At 40.1% G+C, this 22,848-nt stretch overlaps 2 long non-coding RNA genes across 2 annotated transcripts in view; one reads left to right on the top strand and one right to left on the bottom strand.

The window, feature by feature from the left end:
- Nucleotides 1-19,220, bottom strand: part of LOC105379300 (uncharacterized) — a 31,326-nt gene extending 12,106 nt beyond the window's left edge. Inside the window, exons 1-4 of the long non-coding RNA XR_949537.2 lie at nt 19,128-19,220; nt 18,826-19,001; nt 15,875-16,113; nt 14,388-14,567 (exon numbers count right to left, since the gene is read on the bottom strand). This is a non-coding gene — a long non-coding RNA (uncharacterized LOC105379300). The remainder of the gene's footprint in view (nt 1-14,387; nt 14,568-15,874; nt 16,114-18,825; nt 19,002-19,127) is intronic.
- Nucleotides 19,221-19,753: 533 nt separating this feature from the next.
- Nucleotides 19,754-22,848, top strand: part of LOC100128993 (uncharacterized) — a 61,849-nt gene continuing 58,754 nt past the window's right edge. The window contains exon 1 of the long non-coding RNA NR_038919.1: nt 19,754-20,128. This is a non-coding gene — a long non-coding RNA (uncharacterized LOC100128993). The remainder of the gene's footprint in view (nt 20,129-22,848) is intronic.

Here is a 22,848-nt window from a genome sequence, read left to right as displayed (position 1 = left end):
AATTTTCCTTATCTGCAGGGAATACGGGTGGTCACTTAAGGAGTATGTGTTGCAACACATCAGAGCTCCCCCACATCCCATATATCAGCCAAGCAGATATTTAATTTTGCCAATAATTTATTTCATCGGCTTAAATATTGTCCATGCCTAAGGGCCTCTTTGAAAATATGAACCTCCCTAGGCAGGGTGGACCACTCCCCTTAAAATAAATGTGATAGCAAAATATTTTCTTCCTAGGCAAGAAGGTTTCAGAATTGATTTGGAAATCAGAGATTTCTCAAAGGAATAATTAAATCTGTTCACAGTAGGAGAAAAGTAACATATGGATATTAGTGATTTCGTTTACTTTTATTAAGAAAAGAGACTATTAGAACCATGCCCTGGGAACTCAGGGTGTAAAAGACAGTGTCACCTCACAATTCTGCAGAGGACGACCCCTAGGCAAAAATGTTCTACTAAATAGGACAGGTTTGAGTACAAGGGAGCACTGGATGATGAACTAGTAGAATGTCCAAGTTGGAAGAAAATCCAACCCTTCCTTTTGTAGAAGCAGCAGCAGAGGCCAGGGGCGGGAAAGGTTCTTGGCCAAGGTCAGTGTGGGGACTTCACAATCCAAGTGCAAAATGGCTTCAGTAGTGACATAAACAATGCCCTTGTGCAGTCCCCTGTGCAGTTGTCAAGGCCACACTCCCCAAAGCCAGAGCTTTGCTCAGCACTCAGCTGGCTGCATGTCAAAGTCCTCAAGGGCTCTTTTTTTCAAAACAAGTGGACTGTATTTTGAACACAAACCTGCATATTTATCAAGTGTTTGAAGGTGATTCTGAAGCATAGGCAGGTTTGGGAAGTACCTGTGTAGGTTATCAGGGTTGTTCGTGTAGATAAGCATAGAGGGCTTTTAGTGCTAAATAAAATAAGACCTTAGATATAGTCTGAATCCTCATATTTTCTTCTTTTTTAATTCCAGGAAAGTTGTACGTTACTAACCACAATCTACTTTCTGAAATAAGTACAGAAGCCAAAAAAAAAAAGAGAGAATAAAAACAAAAACAAAAAAACAGACTATATAAGAAAAAATAAGCTTACTAATACTAATACATCTTATTATTCATGACCCTTGAGGGAGAAAACTAGACCTACAGAAGTCAGTGAATTTTCTCAAAGTCACATAGGTCTTTTGCGGCAGAGCTGGGACTGGATCTGGTCTTTCTATTACCACTCCCTGAAACACACAGGTCTGCAAAATATGAAGGAAAAGGCTGTTGGGAAAAAGACCACACTGTTCCCACTGGTTAGCACTGGAGACTGGGATGACTGCCCTGGGCAGGAGTAGACTTTTCTTTTATGCCCATCTGTGTAGTTGGAATTTCTTCCAGTTATACGCAACACAGAAGACAGGATTACCTGAAAATCCTGCCACTTCAAGACCTTTACAGTGCTGTTTAGTATATTACAAACATCCCTTTCAAGACTGAGCTGAGCTTGCAGGAATAAAAGGGGAAAGTAATCAGGTGCTAAGAATTAAAGGGGTACTGAAAACCAGAGCGGTTTTGCCTGTTGCCACAGCTGCCTTGGGGGCAGAGGCTGGAGGAATAAGTGAGCTCTCTCACACAAGCCAGGCTTGGGGAGGGCCGAATTCACCCAGGAGGAGATCAAGGACATGCATGGTTTCTGCTGAGGCTCTGGAGAGGAAAAAAAAAAAAAATCTCCCTAGAGAACTTGCAACTTGTAATTTATTAAAGTAGAAATTGTAGTTTACTCAGTAAAATTAGAAATTAGTCACAAAGGTATAACTTTTTTAAAAAAATCCCCTATGTTGGATATCCTATGTTCTCACTGATAAGTGGGAGCTAAGCTACGAGGATGCAAAGGCCTAAGAAGGACACAATGGACTTTGGGGACTCAAGGGAGAGGGTGGGAAGGGGGTGAGGGATAAAAGACTACAAATTGGGTTCAGTGTGTACTGTCCGGGGTATGGGTGCACCAAAATCTCACAAATCACCACTAAACAACTTACTCTTGTAACCAAACACCACCTGTTCCCCAAAAACCTACAGAAATAAAAAATTTAAAAAATCCTCTATGTGTGAAGATGAACAACTTATTAAGTAAGTCTTGGTTTTAAGGGGAAATCAAGTAAATTAATAGATGCTTATAGTTAAAGGATAATGATAACATTTATGTCAAAATATGTGGAACCGTATAAAAAGTAATATTACATAAAATTATAACTTTAAATATATTTAACAGAAAGTTTTTAAATGTTAGAAATTACAAGTTTAACTCAAGGGATTGGAAAAAGAGCAATAGAACAAGCCAGACAGGAAGAATGGGCAGTGCAAAGGCCCTGGGGAAGGAAGGCCAGCATGGCTGCAGCAGAGTAGAAGATGCAGAATGAAGGAGGAGTAGATGAAGTCAAGGACGTAAGAGGGCTCTGTCCACCGAGGACCAGATTATTCAGGAGTACATAGGCCATGAAAAGGAAACGGCTTTTAGTCCAAGTGATGTGTAGCCATTGAAGGGTTTTGACTCATATCTTGCATGAATCACTCTGTCTGCTGTGTTGAGATTCGCCTCTAAGAGGGCAAATATGGAAGTGAAGAGTCAGCGTGACTCTAAGGCTTTGGGTCACAGCAACCAGAAGGATGAACTGCCATTTACTAAGATGGGAAAGAGGCTGGGTACGATGGCTCATGCCTGTAATTCCGGCACTTTGGGAGGCCGAGGTAGGCAGATCACGAGGTCAGGAGATCGAGACCATCCTGGCCAACATGGTGAAACACCGTCTCTACTAAAATACAAAAAATTATCTGGGTTTGGTGGTGAGAGCCTGTACTCCCAGCTACTCCGGAGGCTGAGGCAGGGGAATTGCTTGAACCCGGCAGGCAGAGATTACAGTGAGCTGAGATTGTGCCACTGCACTCCAGTCTGGGTCTCAAAAACAAACAAATAAACAAACAAACAAAATAAACGGGAAAGACTGTGTGAAGAGCAGGTTTGGAAGGAGGAAAAGATCAGGGGTCCGGTGTGTGAGATGTGTCAATATTAGGCATCCAAGCAGTGGTTTCCATGGGCAGGAGGACATCATCACAGCTTGGAGCTCAAGGATTAGGTCTAGGCTGGAGATGTAAATGTGGCAGGAAAGGGAAAACAGGTGGTACGTAAAGCTGTGAGACTACTGTGAGTACTGTATCAAGTAAATACACAGAGAGAGAAGAAGCAAGGTCAAGGGCTGAACCCAAATGACCTCCAATGTTAAGAATACCAGGGAGAAATGAAGGAACCAGTAAAGATGATTAAGAAAGGCAGGCCAGTGGGGGCCGGGCCAGGTGGCTCACGCCTGTAACCCCAACACTTTGGGAGGCCGAGGTGGGTGGGCCACTTGAGGTTAGGAGGTGGAGACCAGCCTGGCCAACATGGTGAAACCGCTTCTCTATTAAAAATACAAAAATTAGCCAGGTGTAGTGGCGCATGCCTGTAATTCCAGCTACTCGGGAGGCTGAGGCAGGAGAATCGCTTGAACTCGCCAGGCAGAGGTTGCAGTGAGCCAAGATCACACCACTGCACTCCAGCCTGGGCGACAGAGTGAGACTCTGTCTCAAAAACAAAACAAAACAAAAAACAGAAAGGCAGACCAGCGGACTCAGAGCAAAGTACACCACTTCCTGGAAGTCAAGTGAAGAAAACATTTCTTAATTTTCATTTTAATTTTAATGGCTTTAATATGTTACCTTTCTATAGGATGTTTGCTCTTCTTTTTTGTTAATCTGTATCACTTTTATATATTTTTCTTTTGTTCCTACTTTACTTAGAGTTTTTATTTGAAATTACCACTGGATTTTATCAAAACCGTTTTTAGACCATGTCAATATTATTTCTGTTGATGTAATTTGTTGATGTAATACATTTTTTGCCAATAATTTCCTAATATTAACACCCTGGAATAAACTTTTTCTCATCGTAGTGTTTTATTATTTTAATGTACTATAGGGTTTGCTTGTCTAATATTTTATTTATAATCTTTACATGTATATCCTTGAGTAAATTTAAGTTATGTTAGGTTTTTTTTTCTCTGTCAGGTTTTGATATTAGAATTGTTGGCTTTTAAAATGAATTGAGAGCTTCCTTACTTTTTTCTTTTCTTTTCTTTTTTTGAGACAGAGTCTCACTCTGTCATTCAGGCTGAAGTGCAATGGTATGATCATAGCTCACTGCAGCCACAAACTCCCAGGCTCAAAGCCAACCGTCTGCCTCAGCCTCCCGAGTAACTGAAATTACTAGTCATAAACCACCATGCCCAGTAAATTTTCAAATTTTTTATAGAGGCAAGATCTCCCTGTGATGGCCAGGCTGGTCTTGAACTCCTAGATTCAAGGGATCCTCCTGCCTCAGCCTCCCAAAATGTTGGGATTACAGGTATGAGCCATCATGGCAGCCCATAGAGCTTTCTTTTTTATGAGCTGAAAGAAAGAGTTCAAACAATGTAGAAATTATTATTGCAAAACTAACCGAATTAGGTGCCTTCATTTTTCTTCAGTTATTTGTTCAACTTTTCTGTGTCCTTTTGAGAAAATTTTATTAATTTGTTTATTCTTACAAAATGTTCCATTTCTTATTGGTTTCTATTTATATTTCTGGAGAGTTGTATGTAATAGTTTCTCACAGTTTTTCTTTTCTTTTTGAGATGGAGTCTCACTCTGTTGCCCTGGCTGGAGTACAGTGGCACGATCTTGGCTCACTGCAGCCTCCGCCTCGCAGGTTCAAGGGATTCTCCTGCCTCAGCTTCCCGAGTAGCTGGGATTACAGGCATGCGCCCCCACGCCTGGCTAATTTTTGTGTTTTTAGTGGAGATGGGGTTTCACCATGTTGGTCAGGCTGGTCTCGAACTCCTTACCTCAAGTTATCCACCCACCTCGGCCTCCCAAAGTACTGCGATTACAGGTGTGAGCCACCACACCTGGCTGATAGTTTCTCATAATGTTTCTAATCTTATTTGAATTTGTGGGCATATCTTTTCTCTTTCTCAATAGTGATATGTTTGTATTTGCTTTTTCACATTTTTCATTAATGAGATGTAATGGGAATTATCTATTTATGCAGACAAAAGAGATTTTGGTTCTATTACCCCTTTTACTATTTTTGTTTTCTTTATTTTTAATCAGTTCTGCCCTTTATCTTTTTAATTTCCTATACGTACTATCTTAATGTTTATTTTCAGTGTATTTTTCCAACTGTCTCAAGGGGCATACTTAATGTATTTTTAGTCTTCCTTTTTAAATAAAGCAGCAGATATAAATCTGAATCCACAACTCAGGCATGTAAGAAATATAATGATTTTAAAAATAAGTCAACTGAATTTCCATACCAAGCCTCCTTTCTACCAGGGAGCAGAATCTTAATCTTTGTTAATTTGGAGTCTTTCTCTTCCCAGGGTTGTCTAAGTTTTATAACTCTTTTCTTTTGTTTTTGAGACAGAGTCTCGCTCTGTCACCCAGGCTGGAGTGCAGTGGCGCGATCTCGGCTCACTGCAACCTCCGCCTTCCGGGTTCACGCCATTCTCCTGCCTCAGCCTCCCGAGTAGCTGGGACGACAGGCGCCCGCCACCACATCTGGCTAATTTTTTGTATTTTTAGTAGAGATGGGGTTTCACCATGTTAGCCAGGATGGTCTCCATCTCCTGACCTCGCGATCCACCCACCTTGGCCTCCCAAAGTACTAGAATTACAAGCGTGAGCCACCGTGCCCGGCCTAGAACTCTTACATCATTAAAGTTGACAATCGTATGGTTCTCAGTGGAATCTCACCCTGCAGTCATCAATGGATGTAGAATTTCAGGCTTACTCTTATTTCATTTCAGCATATTGGAGACCATGAATTCAGGTCTCAAACCGTGGAAGGCTGGCTTGCAGTTGTGAATTACCAGGAAGATTTTGTTTGTTTGTTTGCTTCCAATGAGAATCAAGATCAAGAGAGGCAAGCTCCTTCCTCTTGCGTACTGCATAATAGGTTTATTCTTCAGCATTACACGGAGAATGTAGCCTTTTAAGGTCCCTGGCCCCTGCTTTATACAGGAATCTCCTTTAGGACTTCTGATCTCAGGGAGGCTCTGGGGTTATTGGCCTGCAGGAGCCCTCAGATGGCTCTTTAAGCTCTCCAGCGTTCAGCCCCACTGCCTAAGGCTGTTGTTTTCCTCTTGTTTTAGGCCTCTGTGGAATTCTTATTTTCAAATTGTGAGATTCATATAAAAACAAGTTTGTTGTTATTTTCATCAGGAGGGTTTTTCCAGGAATCCAGTCCATCATAAATTTCAGAAATAGAAATCTCACCCATCCCTTTAGTTTTTTCTGACTCTTGCAAACAATATATAACTAGATTTTGTTTCTGTTCCTTCCTAATGTGACACTTCATGTTTTAATAGAGAATTTACCCCATTCACGCTTTTTGGTGAAACAAGTTCAGTTTGATTATATTTAATGTTTATTACCTAAAGTTTAGAGTTGTTTCCTCTTGCCTGTTTTCCTTATTTTTGCTAGTTTGATATTTTTTCTTTTCACTCCCTTCTGCCTTCCTCCAGTTATAATTTCTATCACACCTCATCAACCATAGTGGTTATGTTATCATCTTGAATCTATGTGTAAACCTCAAACTTACTACTAGCATAAAAACTAATAATAAATATTAACTGTGCTCTTTTGCCAACATGTTTTACTCATCTGCAGTGCCATTTCCCCTACATCAATACAAGACCTTTGGATGTTCGTATTCTCAACTTGTAGCTCTCTCTGCTGCACCCAGCTGATATGGTTGGCTGTGTCCCCATCCACCCAAATCTCATCTTGAACTGTAGCTCCCATAATTCCCATGTGTCATGGGAGGGACCCAGTGGGAGGTAATTGAATCATGGGGGTGGGTCTTTCCCATGCTGTTCTCATGATAGTGAATAAGTCTCACGAGATCTGATGGTTGTATAAAGGCGAATTCCCCTACATAAGCTCTCTCTGCCTACTGCCATGTAAGATGTGACTTTGCCCTTCATTTGCCTTCCGCCATGATTGTGAGGCCTCCCCAGCCATGTGGAACTGTGAGTCAATTAAACCTAAATTACCCAGTCTTGGGTATGTCTTTATTAGCAGTGTGAGAACAGACTGAGGCACCACACTACCCCTATCTACCCACCCCCATTCTGGGATTTTTTCAGAGTCTTTTTTTTTTGTTTTTAATGGAGTCTCACTCTGTCACCCAACTGGCCCAATCTTGGCTCACTGCAACCTCTGTCTCCTGGGTTCAAGCAATTCTCCTGCCTCAGCTTCCCGAGAAGCTGGGATTACAGGCATGTGCCACCATGACCAGCTAATTTTTGCATTTTTAGTAGAGATGGGGTTTCACCATGTTGGCCAGGCTGGTCTCAAACCCCTGACCTCAAATGATCTGCCTACCTTGGCCTCCCAAAGTGCTAGGATTACAGGCGTGAGCTCCCACACCCAGCCAAGAGTTTTATTAGATAAAAGATAGTTTTGTTTGCTTGTTTGTTTGTTTCTTTAGTCTGTGTTTTTCTTATTACCCAAAGTTCATTGTTTACTTTAAAGTTTATTCTTGGTGTTGTATATTTTACGGGTTTTGACAAATGTGTAATGACATGTATTGACCACTAAAGTATCATACAGAATATTTTCATTGCTCTAAAAATCCATGCTCTGCCTGTTCATCCCTCCATCCCCCTGACAACTCCTGGAAACCACTGATCTTTTTACTATTTCCATAGTTTTGCCTTTTCCAGAGGACCATATACTTGCAATTATACAGTATGTAGCCTTTTCAGATTGGCTTGTTTCACTTAGTAATTCACATGTATTTAAGATCCCTCTTTATCTTTTCATGGCTTGGGACTCATTTTTTAAAATAGATTTTATTTTTTAGAGTGATTTGTAGATCCACAGCAAAATTGAGCAGAAGCTACGGAGATTTCCTATGGAAACCCTGCCCTCAGGGATGCATAGCCTGCCTGACTATCAAAATCCAGCACAAGAGTGGTCGTTATGTTACAATCAATGAGCCTACATGGACACATCACTCTCACCCAAAGTTTGTAGTTTACAGTAGTGTTCACTCTTGGTATTGTATTAAAGACATTGTATGGGTTGTGACAAATTAACAATGGCGTGCATCCGCCATTATAACATCATACAGAGGGGTTTCACTTCCTAAAAATCCCTCCTATTCTGCTTATTTATCCCTCTTTTTTTTTTTTTTTTTTTTTTTTTTGAGACAGAATCTCGCTCTGTCGCCCAGGCTGGAGTGCAGTGGCGCAATCTCGGCTCCCTGCAACCTCTGCCTTCCAGGTTCACTCCATTCTCCTGCCTCAGCCTCCTGAGTAGCTGGGACTACAGGCGCCTGCCACCACGCCCGGCTAATTTTTTGTGTTTTTAGTAGAGATGGGGTTTCACCATGTTAGCCAGGATGGTCTCGATCTCCTGACCTCGTGATCCGCCCACCTCAACCTCCCAAAGTGCTGGGATTACAGGCGTGAGCCACCGCGCCCAGCCCCTCTATCACCTTTAACCCATGGAAACCACTGATCCGTTTATACTACTGTTTCCACAGTTTTTTCTTTTCAAGAGTGTCATATAGTTGGATTCATACAGTACATACCCTTTCCAGACTGACACTTTTTACTTAGCAATATGTATTTACGTTTCCTCCATGTCTTTTCATGGCTTAATAGCTCACTTCTTTTCACTGCCGAGTAATATTTCATTGTGTGGATGTACCAATGTGTATTTATCCATTCACCTACTGAAGGTCCTATTTTTGCTTCCAACTTTTAGCAATTATAAATAAAGCTGCTATAAACATTCATCTGCAGGTTTTTTGGTGGACATAGTTTTCAATGTAGTGGTAACTTGTTTTAATTTGCAATTTCCTAACAACATATGATGTTTAATATCTTTTAATATGCTTATTTACCTTTATATCTTCTTTTCTTAATATCCTAAGGTGAAAGCTTAGATCATTAATTTTAAACTTTCGTTTTTTCTAATATATGCATTCAAGGCCATAAATTTCGCTGTAAGCACTGCTTTCACTGTACCCCACAAATTTTGGTAAGTTGTATTTCATTTTCATTTAGTTAGAAGTATTTTAAATTTTTTCTTGAGGATTTGTCCTTGACTCATGTGTTATTTAGAAGTATGTTGTTTAATTTCTAAGTGTTTTGAAACTTTTCAGCTATCTTTCTGTTACTGATTTTCAGTTTAATTCCATTGTGGTCAGAAGGAGAATATATTGTAAGATTTATGCTTTTACATTGATAATTTGTGTTTTGTAGCCCAGTATGTGGTTTACATTAGTGGATGTTCTATGTGAGCCTGAGAGGACTGTGTACTCTGCTCTTGTTGGATAAAGTAGTTGATAGATGTCAATTATATCCAGGTGATTGATTATGCTGTTGAGTTTGACTATGTCCTTACTGATGTTCTGTCTGCTGGATCTGTCCATTTATGATTGAAGAACGTCAAAATCTTCAACTGTAAGTATGAATTTATTGATTTCCCCTTGCAGTGCTATCATTAGGCTGGACTCTGGTAAAACAGCTTCTCTTGAGGGCAGGAGGCCTTGCTAACAACAATGCTTTGTTGGATTTCAAAATGGCGACCTCCCCTCACTTCCTAATGGAAGCATGAAGGGTTTTTCTTTGGTCTTCACTCTGAGAACCTGATAGAGCTCCTGATGTAAAACACACAGAAGTGTGAGAAGCCTTCCCATGGCTGGGTCCCCTGCAGTTTCTAACTCTCAGACTTGTCCACATTAAGCTTCCTATAATTCATAAATTACAGTTCAGGTTTTTCGACCCCCGTACTGGGTCCAGTGAGGGTTTCTGCTCATGGGTTTCTGCTTCACTAAGTTGTGACTCTCTGTATCTAGCCTGTCTGTCTCTCCAATTTTGAGGAGAGTGGTTTGCCCTGAGAGCTCACTTTTCTAATGGATCTAAGAAAAGTTGTTGGTTTTCCAGTTTGCTTGGCTTTGTACTTGTTGTTGTGACGGAGTGATGACTTCTATACTACTTACATGCCCAACTGGAAACTGGAGGTCTCCTGTTCTTACTCTCCTAATACGTATGTTTAACATCAAGAAATTTTACAGTCATTTCTTTCGATGTAGCCACAGGTACTACAAAATTCAGTTCTCACCAGTGTTTCTTATACTGTTTTGCTTCTCTATTTTCTGATTTAAGATCTTTTATTCTGATTTTTTTGTGTCTTTGTGGTTAGGTTACTTCCTGAAGTGCTTTCTTTTCATAGGATATGTGGACGGTATGCTTTCTGAGAGCTCGAAAATGTGTAAATGTCAAGAATTATGTCTTCAGCATGCATAGGACTTTTCGATTAAGCACTGTTCCCTTGGTAGCCTAAAATGATTGCTCACTATCTATTAGCTGCTGATACTACAGAGGATAAGTTGAATCCACTTTTCTTTAGAGTATTCTGCTCTTTTTGGCCGGAAGTTTATACAATGCTTTTAAAACCAAAGAAGTTCAGAAATCTTGTATGTATCTTTCCCCCTCAATCCTACTTGAGACTCTGCTCCCATTCAATATAACTTTTTGTATTTTTATACTTGAGAACATTTTTTTTCTTATGTTTTCCTTTATTCTTACTTCTCTGTTTGTTCTGTTGGTTCCTGAAAATTTCATTTGCATAATAGTTTTCTTAGGTTTGCCTTCCAAGTCTTTCACAATTTCCCTCATGATTTGTAATTTTTGTTTGTTTTTACTCTGTGTTGTATGTTGAGAATTATTTATCCCTTTCAGTCTTGTGCCATCAATTTAGTTCTTACCACAACCATAAGTTTTTAGTTTCTAGTGAACTTTTAAATCCAAATTTGTACTTACAGTGAATCTTTTAAAGAAATCTAATTGCATCTATTTGAGATTCTTATTTTTATTAAATTTTCTTCTTTTTCAGTATTTTTGCAGTGAGATGCCCTCCGCCTTAGACTTTGCATTATCTACCACTGCATAATAAAGTACTCCAAAATATAATAGTTGGAAATACAAGCATTTCTTATCTTACAGTTTCTGTGGGTCAGGAACCTGAGAGTGGCTTAGCAGAGTGGTTCTGGTTTAAGATCTCTTACAGGCTACAGTCAAGATGCTGGCCAGGGCTGCAGTCATCTCAAAGCTATGGGAGAATCTATAGCCAAGCTCAGTCACGTGGCCTTCTCCACAGGACTGCCTCAGGACCTGGCAGCTGGCTTCCCCCAGAATGAGGACCCAAGAGAGTGTACCTAAGTCAGAGCTACAGTCGATTTATAACTAATTCAGAAGTGATTCCCCATACTCAAGGGGAGGGGATTACATAAAGATGTGAATACCAGAAGGTAAAGACTTTCCTCCCCTAAATTACTGAGACCCCTCCCACCCCTTTAGAAAGAGCTGTAACTTTCCCTGACTATTCATGAATATGGCTTATTGCTAAGCCTGTTGATGTCAAGTTTATGAGGTTCTCTTGGGCACTGGGAAAGTGAAGAGGTTAAAGACATGAATATCTTTGTTCTAGAAGCTACACGCAAATAAACTGTCCCTTAAATTTGGCCAGCCAGAACTTTCGGTCTCCTATGCAAGAAGACTAGATCTGACTGATGCCATAGGAAGCCACTAAAGAACAATGTGACCAGATTTGCTTTTAATGAAAACAATTGCTTTAGTAAAGATACGGCGAGTGATTTGCAGGAGAGGTAGAGGATTTGGTTATGGATCATTGACAATAATGCGGGCAAGAGATGACATGGGCTGAATTAGAGAAGTGGCATTTGAAGTGAGTAGATTTGATTCTTAGAAGAAAGCATTTACTAAATTTGATTCTGGATATTGCGAGGGAGAGAAAAATATAACTCCCAATCCTGCGGCTTTAGCAGTTATAGGTGTTTAAAGAGCCATTCAATAAAATTAGGAAATATAATTAAGGGAACTTATTTTTTGTTATAGGCTGTGGGAAATGATAAATTCAGTTTTTTAAATGCTTTGCTTTAGGTGCCTGTGGGACATCCAAATGGAACTCTTCAATAGGAAGTTGTATTACAGAGAACTCCATCTCAGTAAAGAGACGGGGCTGATGTTGGAAATCATTAGAGTCATATTCACGGTGGAAATCAGGAAGTAGCCATTAAGGTAGACAAGAATAATGCTAAGGAGGAAAGCTGTTTGAAAAGAGTTACAAAAGGAAGGGAGGAAAGTCACAAGAATATAATTGTCAATAGTATCAAAAACTGAAGGTGTTCAGTGAAATCAAATTGGGAAAGTATCTATCTGACTTGGGTTGGTGAAGGCTATTGGTGATGTGTCAGGGAAGTGGTACAGGGGCAAGACAGACTGTAGTAAGCTGAGGAAGTGGATGTTGGGGAAGGACAGACATAGTTATGCTGCTATGGTTTCAATACTTGTGTCCCTTTTCAAATTCATGTTGAAACTTAATCCCCAGCACAGTAGTATTAAGAGGAGGGGCCCCCTAGAAAGTGATTAGGCCATGAGGGCTTCACCCTCATGGGTTGGGTTAGTACTGTTATAAAAGGGCCTGAGTTTGGCCCCCTTTTTTTGTCTTCCATCCCTGCCACCACTTGAGAACACAATGTTTGTCCCCTCCAGAGGACACAACAACAAGGCACCTTCTTGGAAGTAAAAATCAGGCCCTCATTGGATGTCAAACCTGCCAGTGCCTTAATCTTGGACTTACCAGCCTCCAGATTCTGTTGTTTATAAATTACTCAGTTTGTGGTATTTTGTTATAGCAGCATTAATACACCAATACAGATGATTAGCAGGGAAGATGGGTGTGAACTCCAGGTATCTGAGACAAGTCTCAGTCAATTTTGAAGGTTTATTTTGCCGAAGGTTTATTTTGCCAAGGTTAAGGACATGCCTGTGGAGGCATCAGGAGGTCCTGATGACATGGGTTCAAGGTGGTCAGGGCACAGCTTGGTTTTATACATTTTAGGGAAACATGAAACATTAATGTTTGTAAAATGCACGTTGGTTCAACCTGGAAAGGCGGGACAATTTGAAGTGGAGCGTGGGCTTCCAGGTCATAGGTAGACAAAATACATTCTTTTGAGTTTCTGATTAGCGTTTTCACTGAATACACAATTTACAGGAATAGTCACTTATGCCTTCGTCTGGCTTAGTCAAGCAATAGGGCAAAGGAAGCAATCAGATATGCATTTGTCTCATGTGAGGAGAGGGATGACTTCGAGTTCTGTCTTTGGTCCAGAAGGAACTTCCTTGTGGGTGAATTGTGAGGGAGGTATGTAGCTTTTCTTTTTTTCTTTTTTTTAATCTGTGTAGCTGTCTTATTCAGGAACAGAATGGGAGGCAGGTTTGCCCAATGCGGTTCCCATCTTGACTTTTCCCCTGGGCTTGGTGATTTTGGAGTCCGGAGATTTACTTTCCTTTCACAGGGGGATGGAGGGAGAGGGAAGGCAGAGGAGGATCCTAAGAATTTGCTTAAGCTGGGACAGCAGTTGGTGTTATTATCATTATTACTATTCCTACTACTGACACTTACTGAACACTTATGTGCCAGGCATTTGTGTTAAGCATTATTATTATTATATAACAAATGGCAATGTCAGTAGAAGAGTTTGAAGATACGGGAATGAGAAGGGCTGCTTCATGAGTTCAACTCTTAGGAAGGCCAGTAAGGGATATGCAGTGTAAATACGATAAGGTTTTGTCTGTTGAGCATATTTTTGCTCAAGAAATGCTACTTTCCCACCTGGTAAGGCTGTCGCTCACATGTCCCCACTTCCCTCTCCACTCTCTGAGTCCTGGGATGAGCACTTGACCCACGGTGGCTGACCATTTTCTTGGTGATGAGGTGGATGTGTGACTCAGGTTTGGCAATCAGAGTCCTTCTTGGTACTTTTGTTTCAGTTACCAAGAAAATGAAATTTTATTTCATGTGGTGTCATTATTTGTAAAGACAACAAAAGTTAGAATTGCTGGTGGCAATCTTTACCACCCACCTGGAGGTGACCTTCCTTGTGCTGAGGGATGGAGGAAAGAAAAGCTCAGAGGGGACAAGAAAAAGGCAAAGTCCTGAAAACCGAATTTGAACTCTTGGAACTAGTTGTGGTTAAAGCCAGCCCTATCCTTGGGGTTCATTTGCCTACGTTAGTTTGAATTAGGTGTTTATCACAAACAAAACCATCAGGGACAATATAGGGGAGGCAAAACATTCAAGGAGGAAATTAAAATAGAATGGGACTCGAGCTGTCACTTCTATTGAAGCAGAAAGGAAACAAGGAAGGAGAGTAAAGTTGATGGAGGGGAACGACAATTTATAAAGGTTCTCCTCTGATTACTTCTGTCTTCTCTATCATAAATAAGGCTATGTTACCTTCAAATTGTGATGGCAGAAGTGGCAAAACCTTCAGAAATGTGATGAAAATGTAATCACTCAGGAAGAATTGGAGTAGAAACTCACTAAGAATGCACACCAAGGATGGCTGGGCATTGACAAACCATGGATGTGTGTGGCAGCATTCATATATTTTTTCTTTCTTCTCCTTGCTTCGCCCTACAGCACAGGTGTAAGAATAGAAAAGGCAGATCACTTGGCTCATCTTGAATTCTGTAGAATGTGCACAACGAATGGACAATAGGTTAAGGAAATTAAAGTTAAGACATTACAGAGAAAATGACTGAAGTAATGAACTATGGAATCTAAGCAACACATAAAGAGAAATAAAGCCTGAATGAGACCCAATAGCCCAAGAGAAATGAAGATGACAAGGTCATTGTGACATTAAATAGATACATGGTATATTGGTACCAAGTGGATGAAAACTTGAATGATAAAAGACTGTGGTTAGAGAGTGGGATATTGGAGTTTAAATTTCATAGGTAGAATAGATGTAGGGAACTCAAGATATGAGTTTAGGAAATGAGTGACTGAAGTAAAGAAGACATTGAGCCCTCCTTCATAATACCTCAATTGTTTTTTATTTATTTATTTATTTATTTATTTATTTATTTATTTATTTTCATTTATTTTTGAGATGGAGTCTCACTGTCACCCAGGCTGGAGTGCAGTGGTATGATCTCCACTCACTGCAACCTCTGCCTCCCAGGTTCAAGTGATTCTCCTGCCTCAGCCCCATGAGTAGCTGGGATTAGAGGCATTCACCACTGTGCCCAGCTAATTTTTTGTAATTTTAGTAGAGATGGGGTTTCACCATGTTGGCCAGGCTGCTCTCGAACTCCTGACCTCAAGTAATCCATACGGTGGCCTCCCAAAGGACTGGGATTACAAGCATGAGCCACTGCGCCCAGCCCCTTCAATTGTTTTTTTATTTAAATCCACAAATATCAAATGAGCATGCAACACTCTTGGGTAATCCTCCTTTGCTGTAGTACATTTGCCTTTTTACTCTTTAAGATGATTACTTGACATCTCCTTAAATTTCTCTCATCTCCTCTTTCCATCATTCAATTTCTATAGAATTCTCTGTTCTGTTCTCTCTCCCTTCCTAAGGACCACGCTTCTAAAGGTATATAATTTTTCTATTACGTCATCAGTTTCCACTCACTGGGTCATTGCTATCTATATATACACATAGCTTAATATCACCCATCATTGGAAAAGATCCTCCATGATCTCGTGTCCCTTCAGCTGCCACCGTATGTCTCTATTTCTTTTCACAGCAGACCTACCTAAAAGACTTGTATTCCCGGCTGTCTCCGCTTCTTCACCTCTTATTTTTCACTCCTCCCACACCAATTGGGCTTTTCTTCCTACCACTTCTCTAAAATACTAGCCAAGATCACCAATGACTTAAATTTCTCCAAAGCCAGTGGTCAATGCTCGCTTCCTATTTTACTCACCCTCTCAGCAGTATTTTTGCGTGATTGACCATTCCTTTCTTCTTGAAAGACTTTCTTCCCCAGACTCTGTGACAGTGTTTTTACATTTATCACACCAATAAATCTGGAAGCCCTCTGTCTTATCTGGTATTCCTCCTGTTAACATGGCTTCTCTTTCTTAGTCTATTTGTGACCTGCTCTTCTGCCCAACTTCCAAATAATCTTTCCAGTCTCAAGGCTTTTGTATGTATGCTCTGAATCTTGGAAAAAGAGGAAACAGGGAAAATATTTATTTATTGTACTTTTTTGCCCAGATGAATGAACGGACTCAGGGTTTTAAAGAGAATCTTTGTCTGCAAAGATAAAAGAAAACAGAGGTACATTTGAAAATGTTATTAGCATATTTTAAAAATATATTCTCTGTATTTATTTAAAATCTTTTAGATTCCCCTTAATTTTCAGTTTATTCTTGCCTTCTCAGCTGAGCTCCTGACTTCTATCGCCACTGCCACTTGGATGTCCAGTAGTCATTTCAAACTTAACTTGGTCAAAACAGAACTACTTATTTCCCTACTCCCCCATTTCCATGTCTTGTTTAAGTTTAAATGTGCCTATTTTAAAAAAAGGTGGCCTGGCGTGGTGGCTCACGCCTGTAATCCCAGCACTTTGGGAGGCCGAGGCGGGCTGATCACCACCAGGTCAGGAGATCGAGACCATCCTGGCTAACACGGTGAAACCCCGTCTCCACTAAAAATACAAAAGATTAGCCGGGCGTGGTGGTGGGCGCCTGTAGTCCCAGCCACTCGGGAGGCTGAGGCAGGAGAATGGCGTGAACCCGGGAGGCAGAGCTTGCAGTGAGCCGAGATAGCGCCACCGCACTCCGGCCTGGGCAAAAGAGCGACACTCCGTCTCAAAAAAAAAAAAAAAAAAAGAAAGAAAGAAAGAAAAGAAAAGGCACATCATTCACCTACTTGCTTCGGCAACACGACTATGCATCATCCTTGATTAAATCTCTATCATCTACTCTTTTCATCATTACTAGGTGATAGTCTTGCCTTCTGCATTACGTTAAAAATAGACACAAATGATAACTAATCAATTTCCTTATCACCAAACCCAATAACATACTTGTAACTTGATCCACGTACTCTTCTTTCTTTCCTGATACAAAAATCTCTCATTCATACCCCACATTTGTTTTATTTCCAAAATATGTACAACCCTAGTCCAAGCTGCCATCATGTCCCCTGGACTCTCTAAGTAGCCTCCCAACTGGCATTTCTGCCACCATTTTTCTCTCTCAATATCCATCTGCTCCATCTTCCACATCTCAGCCAAAGTGAGCTTTTAAAAATTTACGTGGTGGCTCATGCCAGCACTTTGGGAGGCTGAGGCGGGTGGATCACCTGAGGTCAGGAGTTTGAGACCAGCCTGGCCAACATGGTGAAATCCCGTCTCTACTTAAAATACAAAAAAAAATTAGCTGGGTGTGGTGGCGGGCATCTGTAAACCCAGTTACTTGGGAGGCTGAGGCAGGAGAATCACTTGAACCCAGGAGTTGAAGGTTGCAGTGAACCGAGATTGCACCACTGCACTCCAGCCTGGGTGACAGAGCGAGACTCTGTCTCAAAAAAAAAAAAAAAAAAAAAAAATGTAAATCACATTGTCAGCTTCCTGCTTAAAATCCTCCACTGGCTTTCATTATTCTCAAAAGAAAATCCATCTTGTTTTCTGTCTTTAAAATTTGCTACGTTTTCTGTCTGAAAAAGCGCTTCAGCCGGTACTTATAATGCTGTCTCCTGAAGGTCCCAGCTTAAGCAGTCCTCCACCCCAGGTACTTTACTTTACCCTGTTTTCTTTATCATAATGATCAGCACTCATGTGAGATTACTTACTTATTTGTTCCCAACTTTATTATTCTAGTTTCCACCCCTTCACTAGACCTACACACTAGAATGTAATCTCTTTGAGGGTAGGGACTTTGTCCTAGTCATTCTCATATACCAGAAGCTTGCACAGGACCTGACACAGAGGAGGCACTCAATAAAGGTTTGTTCACCGACCGACTTTCTCTCCATTCCTCCCTCCACACACATAGGTACCAGGGAAATCACACTAAACTGGACATCATATTGTTTTTCCTCCTTGCATGACTTCACCCTGCTTCTAAACCTAGAAAAATCCTCATTTTTCTAAACTTAGCTCCAAATCCTACCACCAGAAAATTCTGAATTCAGACAGTAGTATCCTTAATGGAATCATCTTTGCTAAATTACATTAATGCTATATCCTTGGCTTTTATCAACAAATGTTTTAAGAAACTGCCATATAAATTTTTCTATTATTTTGTTACAGGAGCATCGTAGGGGACATGGTTTCTACTACAGTTCTCAGTAATCCCTCTTGAAAATTTTATTTTAGAACATACTTCTAAGGAAGGCTTGTTTTCTCCTGTGATAAACTGGCTTGCTTTTTCCTTTATGACAGTAAACATGCAATTGAGCTTGACTTGCTTTTCTCTTTGACTACCAGAAACTTCATAGCAAAATTAGATGCTAAAGCATGGTGTAACTAAGCTATTCTTTTTTTTTGCCCAGGCTGGAGTGCAATGGCGTGATCTCAACTCCCTGCAACCTCTGCCTCCTGGGTTCATGCAGTTCTCTGCCTCAGCCTCCCGAGTAGCTGGGATTACAGGCGCCCGCCACTACACCCAGGTAATTTTTGTATTTTTAGTAGAGAGGGGGATTTCACCATCTTGTCCAAGCTGATCTTGAACTCCTGACCTTATGATCCACCCACTTCAGCCTCCCAAAATGCTGGGATTACAGACATAAGCCACCGCGCCTGGCCAACTAAGCTATGCCTTTAAGAAGAAATTTACTTTTCCTCTGGCCTTGATTTTCTTACAATATTTACATTGTCCCTGGTTCTGACTCCTTATTTCTAAATTTTATCATTACTTTAATGCATACCTTTCCCAGTGTGAGCTGTCCTGATTCCTTTCCAGGAGGTAGGGGTATACATAAATAAGGAATAGAGCAAGATTGTCTCTGTGACACCATTTCCCATATCCCCAAGCTGAATGAATTGCATCCTTTCTGTTCCTGTAGCCTTTGTTCCATTTCCAGTACAGCTCTCTTCACAATATCTATATAATAATAGTAGTTAAGGAAGTAGGTTCTGTAGCCAGATTGTCTGGATTCAGTTACTCATTTATTAACTGTGTGATCTTGGAAAACAACCTCTCTGAGGTTCAGCTATAAAATGAGGATACTGATGATACCACCTCATAGGTTTGTTGTGAGGATTAAAGACATTGATATGAAATGCTTAGAACGGTGCCTGGACTATACGAATGGGCTCAATAAAGTTAATGATTGTTATTATTATGATTATATTATAGCTACATTCGTGTTAATTCTCCTGATATGTCCTGAACTCCTATAGGGCAGGGACTTTATCTTATTTATTCCTAGTACATAGCACAGTGTCTGGGATTAACTAGGTGCTCAATGAATATTTATGGAAATGATTCCAATTGAAATGAGAATTTACTCAGGATTATGGAGCTTTAGGGAGTGAATTCAGAAAGGCATGGTGGAGCTGGATTTTGAAAGGCTTTAAAAGCCAAGTCACAGTTACATTTAATGTCATAGCAAATATGATCCACTGATAGTTTTTGGAAAACAGGTAGGGAAAACCACTTACGAAGGACAATTGTTCTAATAATAGAGAACATAAAATAAATGAGGTGGGACAAGGTCACTAAGCTAGTTATATCCCATTTGTCAAAAAACCCACTAGTACTCTCCTTGATGTTTCTGGAGTTCACTTTTTTGTTGCCTTAACCCTATTGGCAAAGACTTGGCTATAGAGTACTAATTGTGATGCAAGCAAGTTCTTTTGCCAATGGCAACCAGCAGAGCTTCCCCTGAAGATTGGAGGGGATGAGTCAGGGGCAAGGAAGGATTAACAGATTCTGCCTCAAGTCCTGGTGAACCAACTCCTCTCCCCAAGACAGACACATACTAGTGAAATAAATTGGATTTAAATCATCACCTGAGGCAATCCTGAAAGAGAAAAGCAGTCCTAGAAAAGAGTGGAGGAAAAGAGGACAGCCCCATTCTCTTTGTGACCACGAAGACTGCCGCCATGTGGTTGGGAGCCACGTAACTTCTTTTAGTGCCAGCTGAGATTCTTCTGCCCTGGAACTAGTTCCTCCGAGTTATTGCCAGGCCTGGAGATTGAATTCCTGCAGCTGGAAGGTGGGGAAAGGTACGGACAAATGAGCTATGAATTTAACAGGCTAACATCCCAGCTCCACAGGGCTGTGGCCAGAGAGGAATTCTCCCCTTTCAAAGCTGACTCCGGATTGCTTAGAGAAAGAAGCGAATAATAATTGAGTCAGAATGAGAAGTCCTTCCTTCCTTCTCAGGAGGATGTCCTGTTAGCAACTTCTTTGGACACAAGGAGGAAATTAAGAAGCATCATTACTGTTAATATCATTTTCTTTTTCAGAATGTTAACAGCCTTGATATTATACAAAGGTTGATAAAAATGTATTTCATAAGTCAATTATTGCATCATAATTCAAAAAAATAGTAGCAAACATTGTTGTTTAGAAATCAGAAATAAGTAACGATCACTCTTGGATATAACTTCCCCATAAACTAAAGCATATCCCACTGTGTGATATCTGAGAGTTAACAATTCTCCAAAACTTTCAAATAGAAGCTCAATTACAGCATGGTTTTTTTTTAATCACTGATTATTTTAACTGTATTAATCAAAGAAAGCAGCAAATGATTTTTTTTAATCCATTGATTCTTTTAGCAGGCATTCAAATAATTCAGAAAAGACGTGTTTCTAACTTTTATGTTAGAATTAAAGTAAGCATTTTCTTAAGAATCTTCGGGTTTGGGCTCGTCAGATTACTAGACATATTTAGATGGTTCTTGTCATTATGTCCTCATAAATACAAATTGCAACTGTGGTAATGAGAAGCGATTCCCTCCTTGTTAGAAAATAGCAATATCCATTAGTAAAAGTCTGAGGCTTGTTGTGACTGATAAAAAAAAACAAAAGAAAGCAAAATCATAAGTGAGTAAGAAGCTTTTTAAACTTTGGGAAGCCTGAATTCTCATGGGGTTCTCTAGTGCATATGAAGTTACGAACCGTAAATTTGGTAGTTAGTGGGTTCTCCAGTAAGCAAAAAGCGTCTATTTAAGTATATTCTTGCTTTATAAAGTTTATTGTTCAAAAATTTGCTCTAAGAGAGAGAGCATATCTCTGTTCTCCCTAACGCTCTAAAATACTTAGAACAGTGCTGTTGACACTGGAGCTTTCAAACAAATGCCTGATTTATTGAAAGAATCTATACAGACAAGGAGGTAAACAAACTACAGGGCCAAATTCCCTGGCTCTGTATGTGTAGTAGACCTTATATTTTAAAATCATTTCATCGTAAGTTTGTTATGCAGAACAATCAAACAGAAACACGGAAAGGGGTAGAGTCTATTGTTCCCCATAATGGATAATTAAGAGCAAAATTTCTGGAGTTTGGTGACAAATCCAAACGTGAAATCTTCCAAATGTAACCTTAAAGCTAAATCTTTAAGGCAAAAGTGTCCAAATATAAGATGACTCACATTCCAATTATTAAATTTGCCACACAAGACCAGGTGCAGTGGCTCATGCCTGTAATGCCAGCACTTTGGGAGGCCGAGGCAGGTGGATGACCTGAGGCCAGGAGTTCAAGACCAGCCTGGCCAACATGGTGAAACCCCATCTCTACTTAAAAAAAAAAAAAAATTGGCTGGGCATGGTGATGCACCCCTGTAATCCCAGGTACTCGGGAGGCTGAGGCATGAGAATCACTTGAACCCGGGAAGCCAAGGTTGCAGTGAGCCAAGATCACGCTAATGCACTCTGGACTGGGCAACAGAGTGAGACTCTGCTTCAAAAAAGAAAAAAAATTGTCACAAAAGCAAAAAGTCCATTGTTTACCTTACTTTTCCCTGGTCCCGTGCTTCATTTTCCCTATGGAGACCTTGTTATGTTTCAGATGAACTGCAAGGACCCAGTTACAATGGTAGCTTGGCCAGATAACAAATAGACAAAACACGGTTCAGATTTTTTCTCCTTTTCTTTTCAGTAATCACGAAGGGTATCTGCACTTAAAGAACAATTTAATTCAAAAGCCGTTACATTGGAACATAGCTGCCTATATTTTTTAGAAAGCACCTAACTTGCCTGTGTTTTTATAATAACATGTATCCTTTATCTATAGTATATAATAACAATAGTTTCAATAAATTACTTGGCCTTTTAAACATGTCTTTGTCTCATATAATGTAGATAGTTGATTTTTATTAATAGCAAATATTAATATATTAACTTATTCATAATTTTGTTCTTGGACTTCTGCTAAAAGATGAAAGGAAATACAACAGTTAGAATATTTTTTTCTTGTCCATGCTTTAGTTATATGGAATTCTCACGTTACCCTTCTGTCTAAAATACAGCTCTCTGTGTATCCTTCACTTCCAAAAAACAGCTTTTAAAAGTAAAAGTGATGACAACTCCATTCATTTATTATAAAAGCAAAATCTAAGATTTTAGGAAAAGGATAAAATGAAGTTGTTTTGGGGGTATTAGGATATTTTAAGTATTTAAGATAAAATGTGTATAAATTTGGAAAGGGTTCCTTTCCTTATACTGGGTGACCTGACAGAGTGCATGAATGGAAGAAATACATCCCCTCCCTCCCTCACTCCCTCCCTCCTTTCCTTTCTTCCTTCCTTCCCTCCCTCCCTCCTTCCCTTCTTTCTTTCTTTCTTTCTGTCTTTCTTTCTTTCTTTTTCTTTCTTTCTTTTTCTTTCTTTCCTTTTCCTTCCTTTCTTTTCTTTCTCTTTCTTTCTTTCCCTCCCTCCCTCCCTCCCTCCCTCTCTCTCTCTCTCTTTCTTTCTTTCTTTCTTGACAGAGTCTCGCTGTGT

The sequence above is a fragment of the Homo sapiens genome, chromosome 8, assembly GCF_000001405.40.
Source record: "Homo sapiens chromosome 8, GRCh38.p14 Primary Assembly".
Lineage (NCBI taxonomy): Eukaryota > Metazoa > Chordata > Mammalia > Primates > Hominidae > Homo > Homo sapiens.
This window is presented reverse-complemented; position numbering and strand designations above follow the sequence as displayed.